The following is a 12,565-nucleotide window of genomic DNA, read 5'->3' on the forward strand; positions in this document are numbered from 1 at the left end:
ACAAGAACTCAGTCTACTGATAGAGAGAGATGTGTCACAAATAACTACAGTATATTAAACTCTGTATGAGAATTTTGGACAAAACTGTTGGATTCTAACTTTGCATCCAGGTGCCAGGAAGGGCACTCAAGAGGGACAGTTGAATTTGGTCCAAGGCCGTAGCAAAGTTAATGAATTTTGGAGTCAGACAGGTCCACTTGAGCTGTCAAGTTTATTAACTGTCTGAACGTATAAGAGTTTATTTTTATTTCTAAACCTCAGTTTCCTCACTGCCCTGATCACACTTGTCTCAGAAGATTGTAAGAATTAAATACAAGAATATGTATGGCACAGTGCCTGGAACATGGTAGACACTTAATAAACCTTAGTAGTTAAGTGACATTATATTCTGTTATATGTTAAGTCTTTTTTAGGCAGATAGATAGGCCTTTGCTTTAGCAATTGTGTATCCAGTGAAACAGTTCATGCACATTTATGTCATGTTGAGGACGAAACAATAAACTAAGTGTTACAGGTAACTTAGTGCTTAGCAAAGAATGAGTTAAAATTTTACTGGGCTTAAATTTACTCAGATGAGGGTTCCTTTTGCTTGCTGAGGAGTTGAATTTCATTCTGTTCTAACTGAAGCCTAACATTTCTTTTTTTAAAATGGGAAAGTAGCATAATCTACATTACAGTCAGAGGTCTATGTGGAGATGGATTGCAGTGTGACGATGACGAGGATTTGTAGTCCAATTAGCAAGCTATGGCAATAGTCCAAGCAAGAGATAATGAGCTTACAAATTAAGTCACTGGAATTGGAGAATAGGCCCAGTTATGGCATTTTTAAGTGATGGGATCAATAGATGGGAAAGAACTAATTGTTTATGTGCACATGTGCCTAAAAGGTGGTACCTCTATTACATTATAGCCTCCTCTACTTGGCTACCAAAAAATGTTATATGGGCCAAAACTGGGATGTCATCAGCTCAAACCAATGATACAGATTTCAATTGTTAATTAATTGCCCAAAAATATTTATTTTGCAGGAGGTTTTATGGCCATTTCATTTTGAGAACTCAAGTCTTGGATTGGAACTGAGGATATGTAATAAAACCTCAAATAGATATAAATGTAAATTTGTGTACGTATATATTTAGGTGCACATATACATGTGTTCGTGCGCACATGGGTGTACGCACGCACACACACATACACACATTTTTCTTTACTCTGTCCAGTGAGAGTTTCTTGGAACACTGACATTGTTAATAGGAACTGGTACACCTAGTCCTAGATCTTGGATTCTAAGCACTACTTTCCAATAAAAGGAATTAGGGACTTTTGTGGAAATCAACCACCAGTTCCAAAGCTGGGGCTGGAGATGCACAAGATAGTCCTAGAATATATTTTTATGTCAGAAATCAAGGAAGCTCTCAAAGAATGAAGGGACATGCCAAGGGGATATACTGGCCAAATGTGAAGTAATTTGGACATCAAAATAAATAATAATTGTTTTTAACCCATAAAGTAAAATCCATAAATCCACACTGAAGATGAATGTGGAATAATAAATAAATAAATAAACAAATAAGAAAAGGAGAAAGTTTTTCTTTGCAGTAGGAAGTCAGTAATAAATACGGAGGCATGATATGTTCAGAAAATCACCATTTGACAACCGCTGTAGTAATAATTGTTTTAGGCAAGAATCATCGATGGGTAAAACTTTGATGGGAAACATTAATGAACAAAGTTAACATCACCATTAATGAGACAAATAGATATAATGTCCCTGCATCAACATGGCTTCTGTGGTGTTCCTGCCAAAAATGCATTGTGTGAATCTAAACATATAGAGGCTTCAGACAATCCCAAACTGAGTGCTATTCTGTAAAAGACACATGGCCACTACTCTTCAAAAAAATGAGTCGTGGAAGACAAAGAAAGAAAGAGTTATTTGTAATTAATGGAGAATAATGAGACAAGAAAACCAAGGGCAACATGAATACCAGATTGATCCTGGGCCAGTAAAAAATTACAAAACTTGACTAAAGTCTATGTATTAGATAATAGAACTGCACTTACATAAATGTTCTGATTTTGAAAATTGTACTCTGGTTTTGTAAGAAAATACCCTTATTTTTAGGAATTGTACACTAAGGTAATGGCGTATTTTCTTTGCAACTTACTCTCAAATGGTTCAAAAATGTTTACATACAGAGACAGAGAGAGAACATGATGAGACAAATATTGTAAGCATAAAATTATCTCAAAACAAAGAGTTAAGACAGATTCTTTAAAAGATGTATTTTTGGCAAAGTATCATACAACATCTGGGTACAATAAGCAAAAGTTTGCAGGCTATAAAATCACTGCCACAAGCAGATTACCACAGGCAGAATTACACACTGTCCCCTTCCCCATATGACAGAGTCAGCAGTAGCAAGGGCCGGCTTTCAGTGATGGTATCTCCACAATGTATTGGCAGAACAAGAAGGTCATTTGAAATTCGTCAGCTGAAGACATGCAAACACATGACATGGAGCTGGCTATTAATCTTGGTTCATTTTATAACAAAAGTGATCTCTAAAGGGCACCCACTAAGACAAACCTGCTTCAGAAAACAAAACCAATACAAATCCAGGGATCACTCAAACAGATCCCACGCTGGATTTAAAGTATGCTTTCCCAAACTATGGAACACAGTGGGCATGGAACAAAGTGAAGTATTAGGCAAGAGACATTTCCCTCCCTATAGAATGACAAGACACAAAAAACATGAGGTTTGCCCCAATACAGTCTTTTGGTAATCAGTTGTCACGTGAATGAATCTTACCTGAAAAGAATAGGGCATTGGTGAGTGGGAGATACCTTTATGGGAAAGCCAATAAGAGGGATATATTTTCCCTGCATCCAGTAGCAAGAAGTCTTACATAAACAGGAAATGGAGTTGTGTGCGCTTGGTTGCTGTAAATGTAGACTTCATTGAAGAAAGATGTCCCATGGCTATGTTTCCCTTGGGCTCTGGGAAAGAAAGCTTATATTAGGTTTGCTTCCTGACTTTTTATTGTCCATAAATGGCTGCTAGTGTAAGAATCCATGTTTCTGAAAGCATCCATTTTTTAAAAGTCCTCTCTCACTTTCTTTGCCTTAACTATTTCAAAACAATGGAGTTTCAATCTTGAAAGGAAGCTGAGAGCTCTGTGGGAAAGAGTGAGGGCTAACCCACTGAAATTGCTTGGACCTGATGCTTTGCTCTGTTGCTTGGCTCTTCCTCATGCTCCCCCATCTATGTCTGAAACTGTCATGTCAGTGCATTCATTCCCTGGTTCATTTATTCATTAATCCATATGTTCCTCAATCAGTCATTTACAGAGCACTTGCAATAGATCCAGCGCTGCTAGAAACGTTGAAGGGGAAAAAAAAAAGAAATGCAAGACATTGTATGTGAGGGGCCTAATATCCTGTTCATTTGTTACTCAAAGTTATTTATGCAAACTAAGAGGTCAATGTTCAGATGAGTTTCTTTCCTAAACTGACTGTGCATCCATGGAAGGGAGAGATGAAAAGAGAATAGAGTGGTTTGGAAAGGCAGAAAAAAAAGACACCAAACGATCCTGACAAGTAGTTGGAACTTGGAGAGTCAGACACACGTAGGAGGAACGGTAATCAACAGTTAGAAGGTCTGGCTAAGTACAGCTTGTTCAGAGAGCAGTGGTGAGATTGTTTCTAGTGTTATAGGACACATTAAGAAATAATTTTAGGCAGATAGAGAGGAAAAGTGGTCCTTGGAAAGTTGTTTCTTTTAAAGCAGCTCCAGAAATGTTTCTCGTCTATCAGGAAAGCCCCAGCTCTTAGAGGTGGGCAGGCAACCTTCGACATGCAAATGCAGACCATTAGAAACTGGTCCACCCAAACATGGCGATTCCGCCCTCTTCTTCTTGCATTTGCTCCCTCATGTGCCTGGCAACATGGCCACCCCCACATCTCCCCACATGTATAGAATATCCTGGCACCCTGCATTTTCATATTAAAAGGCTAGGGTGGGAGGGCCAGTTTTTTTCGAGGGCTACATGAATGACATGCCTGGTCAAACGAATCCCCTGAGCCCTATGCAAATCAGACATCACCTCCTCCAGCCTCTTCATATAACTGGCTGGCATCGGCCGCCCTGGGGGTTCCCTCTCTCAGCTTTGGAGACTCCGCCCCGCTCTGGCTCTGTACAGGGGAGCTTCTTCCTTCTTTCTTCTCCCTTCTTTCTTGCCTATTAAACTCTCCACTCCTTAAAACCACTCCACGTGTGTCCATGTCGTTTTATACAATTCGACATGAAACAAGAGCCCTGGTGTTCCTCCACTCACTGGAGCTGTATCACTAGGAAAGGCCGGCGAGAGAAAAGGTGGGAAAATTGTATCTTGTAATCTCCACAATGGTAGGCTCTATGTTGGCCATATCAAGAGTTCAACGCAAAATCCTCCCCTCTCTTCTTCCTTTTCTCTCTGGCTCTCTCCTTCCCTTTCCTTCTTCCGTCCAACATATTGCTGGGTAGAATACAATGATATTATTCAGGACTTTATATTATTATTCCGAGTATGTTGGAATTTAGCCTACAGAATGTAAGGGTGATGTTGCCCCAGATCACTAGCATACCCTCCATTCGTTTTTACTAGTTCCTCTATGATTTTATAACTGAAAGATCACAGTATTCTTTTAAAGAGGTTCCTGGTGTCAGAAGGGGGTCGTTTGAAGCAAGATAGCAGACCTAACTATTGGTAAGTTGATTTCATTCAGAAGGTAGGAAAAGCAAGGAGTTCCTCTCTCCTGTCTTCTCTTTCTCTTCTCCCCTAAACAGACAGAACATTTAAACTCAAGCAGTCCTGGGCTCTTACTCAAGACACACGGGAAACTGGTAGGGAAAATGAGAGATAGGATCATGTGCATGGCTATTTAAAAGTTTATTGCCCAATTAATTTGTTATGTATTCTTGGTAAAGCTCAGAACAATCTAACTTGGTCTCACGAGAAGAGAGTATGGTATTATCAAAAGAGAAGCAGGTCAGTTTGCAAAAGGCTATTTTGCTAATAGATCAATTTTAAAGTGAATTCCATTTGCCAAATTACTGATAATTTCTCAGTTTTAATTTTGCTTCAGCCTCTATCCAGCACTTGTATCTTATACCCCCTCTTATTCCTATCATTGCCGTTTTACATGTAAATGGATAGCATTTCCGTTTTTGCTTTTTAGTCTCTATTGTCATGGGTGTGAGTCCTACTACTGCTCTGCACTCTGTACCTGCTTTAGTCCCAGACGTTATCACAAATGTTACACTTTTTTTGGTTGTTGTTATTGAGATAAAGTCTCCCTGTGAGGCCCAGACTGGAGTGCAATGGCGCTATCTTGGCTCACTGCAACCTCCGCTTCTAGGATTCAAGGGATATTTTATTTATTTTATTTTATTTTATTTTATTTTATTTTGAGACAGGGTCTCACTCCGTCGCCCAGGCAAGAGTGCAGTGGTACAATCTGGGCTCACGGAAACCTCCGCCTCCCAGCTTCAAGTGGTTCTCCTGTCTCAGCCTCCCAAGTAGCTGGGATTACAGGCACCCACAACCACGCCTGGCTAATTCTTGTATTTTTAGTAGAGATGGGGTTTCACCATGTTGGCCAGTCTGGTCTCGAACTCCTGACCTCAGGTGATCTGCCCTCCTCGGCCTCCCAAAGTGCTGGGATTACAGGCGTGAGCCACCACACCTGGCACAAATGTTACACTTACACAGCGTCTAACACCATATATCTCAGCTCTTTCTATGCTAGCGTTTATAGGAAAGCCCAACTATTTTCATTTAAAAATAACGTAAGCTGGGGTAGAAAAAAATGTAGGAGCAAAACTGCTCCAAGAGTAGGAGGGGGAAGGGGCAAGAGTTATACATGAAAAAAAGAGTTTGAGAAGCACTTCAGCCATTTAATAATTGATTAAATACAATAATGGAATAAATTGATCATTCAGTTGGATTCATTTGCAGGTTCCTGGTTTTAAAGCAAATCAGTCGGGAACCAGTGAAAAGCCTTAAAGCTCCACGGTTAAAATATCTTCTCCACTTGGGATGATGGCCTTAACCTCCCTGTGGTCAGTTATAAGGTCTTGACTTATTTTGTTCCTCTATCCTTTAAGATAGACATGTCGCCCAAGTGACACAGAGGTCATTTTCAAAGTCTCTTCAAGAAGGGTTGTATGGACTTTTTTCATCAGTACTACACTTTATAGGTTTGTTGTTGTTGTTGTTTTGATGGAGTCTTGCTGCATTGCCAGGCTGGAGTGCAGTGGCACGATCTTGGCTCACTGCAAACTCCGCCTCCCGGGTTCAAGTGATTCTGCTGCCTCAGCCTCCCACGTAGCTGGGATTACAGGTGTGCACCATCACGCCTGGCTAAGTTTTTGTATTTTAGTAGAGACAGGGTTTCACCATGTTGGCTAGGTTGGTCTCGATCTCCTGACCTCATGGTCCACCCACCCTGGCCTCCCAAAGTGCCAGGATTACAGGCGTGAGCCAAGCCTCCTGGCCAGGGTTTGTTTTAAATATTAAAAGTGAAAAATCAATTCTTACAAATACATGAATGAGATTGAGATGTATTTCTTCTTTAACTTTTTTTTATTTGAAACAGTGCTTTTAATTGTTTCAGAAAGTTTAAGAATGGCTGGGAGTAGTGGCTCACGCCTGTAATCCCAGCACTGTGGGAGGCCGAGGAGGGCGAATCACCTGAGGTCAGGAGCTCGAGACCAGCCTGGCCAACATGGCGAAACCCCGTCTCTACTAAAAATACAAAAAAATTGCTGGGCATGGTGGCATGCACCTGTAATCCCAGCTATTCAGGAGGCTGAGGCAGGAGAATTGCTTGAGCCCCGGGAGGTGGGGGTTGCAGTGAACTGAGATGGCACCATTGCACTCCAGCCTGGGGGACAGAGTGAGACTCCATCTCAAAAAAAAAATAAAAAATAAAAAATAAAGTTTGAGACAACATTTCTCATGAATTCTTTGGATTCTTTGGGACTGGGGTAAGTGGAAAGGGCTGGGGACAAAGTTCGGGGTAGTAATTATGTTCTAGGACCATCCTAACAACATGATGCCATTCTTCTCTTCCAATAATTGTATCTCCCCTTTGTTTCTGAGAATTGTGGGCCTCACCCTCCATGACGCCTCACGTCGAAGGAACAATTTGCTGTTGTTTTCAAGATTTTGCTACACTGAAATCCATAGTCCATAAATCACATTTAAAGGAGAGAGTGGGCAGATGATTAAAATGCTTTTTCTAAATTCTCGGAACAGCCTTACCATGGAAGCATACTGACTATTAATCACCAAACTCAGCAGGACTGTAATCTTTGCCTTTTAGGAGGAGTCACAAGCATAACAGGTTTGAGTTGTATTGTGAGGCTGGTCATTGAGACTGCAGCATCAACAGGACATTTGTGCACACAGCGGGGCATCTGTCGACTTTTGCCAACAGAGGCATGTGTGAACATTTAAAAAAAAAATAAACCTGTTTACAACAGTTTTAGATTTACAGAATTATTGTGAAGTTAGTAAAGAGAATTTCCACATACTCTAACCCCGTTTCTTTGATGATTAAGATTTTATATTAGTATGACACATTTGCCCTAATTAATGAACCAATATTGATACATCATTATTAAGTAAAATCAATGCTTAAATCAGACTATCTCAGTTTCCCCCTTGTGTCTTTTTACCTTTCCAGGATCCCATCCAGGAAACCACATTATATTTAGTAGCTGTGTCTCCATAGGCTCCTTTTGGTCATGACAGTGTCTGTGATTTTCCTTGGTTTTGATCATCTTGACAGGTTTGAGGAGTTCTGGTCAGGTATTCTCTAGAATGTCCTTCAATTGGAATTTGTCTGGTGTCTTTTTCATGATTAGGCTATGTGAACCCTGAAAATTTGAGACAGGTCTCAGTTAATTTAGAAAGTTGATTTTACCAAGGTTGAGGATGCCCGACTGTGACACAGCCTCAAGAGGTCCTGATGACATGTGCCCAAGGGGGTCAGGGCACAGCTTGATTTCATACATTTTAGGGAGACAAGAGACATCAATCAATAGATATAAGACATACACTGTTTTGGTCTGGAAAGGCGGGACAACTCGAAGCGGGGGCAGGAAGACTCTAAGCCGGGGAGAGGGCTTCCAGGTCACAGATAGGTGAGAGAAGCGGTTGCATTCTTTTAATTTTTTTTTTTTTTTTTTGAGACAAAGTCTAGCTCTGTCGCCCAGGCTGGAGTGCAATGGCGCGATCTTGCCTCACTGCAACCTCCACCCCCTAGGTTCAAGGGATTCTCCTGCCTCAGCCTCCTGGGCAACTGGGATTCCAGGCACCCACCACCACGCCCAGCTAATTTTGTTTTTAGTAGAGATGGGGTTTCACCATGTTGGCCAAGCTGGTCTCAAGCTCCCAACCTCAAGTGATCCACCCACCCTGGCCTCCCAAAGTGCTGGGATTACAGGCTTGAGACACTGCCCGGCCTGTTTTGAGGTTCTGATTAGCCTTTCCAAAGGAGGCAATCTGATATGCCTTTGCCTCAGTGAGCACAGGGATAACTTTGAATAGAATGGGAGGCAAGCCTGGGATAATGTATTTTGGAAAGAAAGACAACAGAGGTAAGCAAGCCCACAGAATTCCCTCTCATCATGTCTCATAGAGGGTGCCTGCTGTTGCATGACTTATGACTTTGATGGTCATCTTGATCACTGGGATCGAGGTAGTGTTTGTCAGTTTCTCTCCTGTAAAGCTGTTCTTTCAACTCCTTCCCTGCTGTGAAACCAAAGGAAATGACTGACAGTCTCCATCAATTAGAGGCTTATTTTTGCCAATATTGAGGATGCGCCCAGGAAAAAGAGACACAGGCTGCAGTAGAATCTGCGGCCCATACTTTTTCCAAAGATGATTTTGAGGGCTTCAGTATTTAAAAGAGGAAAAAGTAGGTAGAAGGGGAAAGGAGGAACCAAAACAGAACAGTGTAGACAAAAGCAGCAAGTGGTTGCATTCTCTTGGGATTTTCATCAGCATTCACTGAATTTACCTTGTACATGTGAAAGGAGTGGGCAGAGGCTGGGTGTGGTGGCTCACGCCTTTAATCCCAGCACTTTGGGAGGGCGAGGTGGGCAGATCACAAGGTCAGGAGTTCAAGACCAGCCAGACCAACACGGTGAAACCCCGGCTCTACTAAAAATACAAAAATTAGCGGGGCGTGGTGGTGGGCGCCTGTAATCTCAGCTACTTAGGAGGATGAGGCAGGAGAATCGCTTAGACCCAGGAGGTGGAGCTTGCAATGAGCCGAGATCTTGCCACTGCACTACAGCCTGGGCAACAGAGCGAGAGTCCACCAAAACAAACAAACAAAACAAAACAAAACAAAAAGAACAAACAAAAAACAAAAAGAAAGGAGCAGGCAGAGGCATTGGTCTGCTCAGTGAATCTGCGTTTTTGCATGAAAGAAAGTAAACATAGAGTAGAGGAAGCAGCCAAATATGCTTCAGTCTCCGGTGAGCAGATGGATGACTTCTGTTCCTGTCTCTGTCCTGTCTTTTACCTGTGAAAAGAAGCTGTTAATTTACATTGTCGGGATGAAATTCAACAGAACTCCGTTTTAGGGTAAAGATCTTGGGGCCCAGAAAGAATGTCCTTGTGAGGACATTGTGAGGGAAGCCCCCTGGGAAGGTATGTGGCTTCTGTCTTTGCAGTTACCTATTTAGGAAGAAAATGGGAGGCAGTTTTGCCTGACTCAACAGACTTAACTTTTCCCTTGGCACAGTGAGTCTGGGGCCTCGAGATTGTATTTTCCTTTCTATACCTTACTCACTCCTTGGAAAGAGGTCACTATGTGCAGCTCACATTCACAGAGTGGAGAGTTACAGTTCACCTTCTTAAGAGCGGAGTACCTACATATGTTATTTTGAATTCTTCCACATGGGAAATGTATCTATTCTCCCCATTTATCTATTTATTCAACCATTTATTTATGTAAGTGTGGATTCAAGGATATTTAGTTTATATTTTGGGCTATAATCCAATACTACTTTATTTATTTATTTTTTGCTCACATTGGTCTAGCCTTGACCATTAGGAGTTCTTTCATTTGGCTCCCATATTCTTTTGGCAAGCCTTCATCAATGTGGGCTTTTTTTTTTTTTTTTTTGAGACGGAGTCTCTGTCGCCCAGGCTGGAGTGCGGTGGCGCGATCTCGGCTCACTGCAAGCTCCGCCTCTCGGGTTCAAGCAATTCTCCTGCCTCAGCCTCCTGAGTAGCTGGGACTACAGGCGCCCGCCACCACACCTGGCTAATTTTGTTTTTGTATTTTTAGTAGAGACGGGGTTTCACTGTGTTAGCCAGGATGGTCTCGATTTCCTGACCTCGTGATCCACCTGCCTCAGCTTCCCAAAGTGCTGGGATTACAGGCGTGAGCCACCACGCCTGGCCCAATGCAGGTTTTTTATTGTTGGAGAACTTCCTTGCTTTCTGGCACTACAAGATGATCCAAGCCCATCTTGTATATTTCCTTCCCCAATCCAAGGATCTGCCATTTCTTCAAGGAACCCTGGCTCCTTTGATTGAAGAATGATAATAGAAACCAAGATCAGTGTGCTTGTTGCTACTGTGATGTTCATGTAAACCTTTAGAATCTGAGTTTCCTCTGGAATTTCTATGCTGATTCATTAAAAATGCCAACGTGTTTATTATTCACTGTCCACACGCCTACCAATTCTGGGATTATGAGATAGTCTGAGTACTTTGTCAACATCAATTCTTAGAATTCTTAAAATAGCATGAAGAAAATCTAATCTCTGGAAGTGGATGAGGATAAAATGTAATTTGAGGTGGCAGTAGGAGAAATGTGAAAATTACTGTTTTATGTTAATATTGTGTCAACAAGCAGGCTTCTTCAATTATAAGGTAAAAACAATCTTCCTCTTCAGAGAAAGGGAAATAAAACTGCTTTGTATAGGAAGATTTATTTTCTGAACTGTCTCTGGATTGTTTCTGCATACTCAGTCCAATTTGATGTAAATTTAGAGAGCAAATAGATTTACCTTTTGTAGACCACCACCACCTTCCCCCACCTAGTTTCTCTGCATTTATTTTTTATACAGTAAATATGATTTGAGCACCTAGTATGAGGACAAGTCAAAGAAGTCCATGATTCTGGCTCTTATTGCTGCATCAGAAGTTGTCCTAAAGCTTCGTAGTACAAAACGACAGCCATTTTATTTTGCTCACTGTTTTGTGGATTGGAAATTCAGGGAAGGTTCAGCTGAGGCAGGTGAGGAGAGAGCTGAGAGAACCTGTAGGCTAGAACCATCTGTGTGTCTCTGCTGGAGAAATAATGGGCGATGCAAAACAGGACAGTTTGCATTCCTCCTTCCTCCTTCCTGCCTCCTGGTGCCTCCCCTTGCCAGGAACGAATCAGAAGCAAAATGGCAAGGGAGTCTCCAGCGCCAGCATCACATAGCAGGCAACAGAGGGTGGACTTGAAGATGAGAGAAAGTAGAACATCACTAGCACAATCAAACTTTATGAATAGCCAAAAGCTTCTTTAAACACCAAAACTCGTTTTTCTATTCTGTTCTGTTCTGTTCTATTCTATTCTATTCTATTCTATTCTATTCTATTCTATTCTATTCTATTCTATTCTATTCTATTCTATTCTAATGTTAGAGACAGGGTCTCACTCTGTTGCCCAGTCAGGAGTGCAGTGGCACGATCTTGACTTACTGCAACCTCTGCCTCCCAGGTTCAAGCGATTCTCCTGCCTCAGCCTCCCAAGTAGCTGGGATTACAAGCATGTGCCACCATGCCAGCTATTTTTTGTATTTTTAGTAGAGATGGGGTTGGTCAGGCTGGTCTTGAACTCCTGAACTCAGGTGATCCACCAGCCTCAGCCTCCCAAAATGCTGGGGTTACAAGCATGAGCCACTGCGCCTGGCCACAAAACTCATATCCATTTTAAATGGAAAATTTGGACTCTTCTTCACTGAATATTCTAAATTTAATTTTTCTTGGTGTCTTATCAAGAATCAGCTGGTGTTTTTTTTTTTTTTTCTGTTTATAATACATTATTTCCTCAAGGCCTATTTTGTTGTGTAAGATTCCTCACCCTTCCCTCAAAATCAAATGTTCTGTGTTCTTTGAGATATTTCTCATTTGTTTAGTTTTTCTTTCTTTTGCCAAAGAGTTGCAAATGCTTTGTATCAGTGCAGAAAGTAAGGCCTGCCTGTTTCTATATTCTAATTCCTATATTTTAAACTGATGTTGGCTCAGCTATCAACTATGAAAACCTATTGAAAATAGTATAAAATAACTGTAAATGGGCTTGAATAAATACCTAAAGAGTTTGTCTGTAGGTCAGGTGGATCAGTCTCACTGCAGGCACCAACTTCATAGTCACTTAGAGACTTGGCTTTTAAATTTCGGATATTTAAGCCTGCTGGACAACTGATACATGATTTAAGTCAATGTTTGTATACAAAATATTTTCAGTACTTCTCTCTTTTTTTTTCTTTCTGTATTTAGGGAAA

Source organism: Homo sapiens, chromosome 8 (assembly GCF_000001405.40).
Source record: "Homo sapiens chromosome 8, GRCh38.p14 Primary Assembly".
Taxonomy (NCBI): domain Eukaryota; kingdom Metazoa; phylum Chordata; class Mammalia; order Primates; family Hominidae; genus Homo; species Homo sapiens.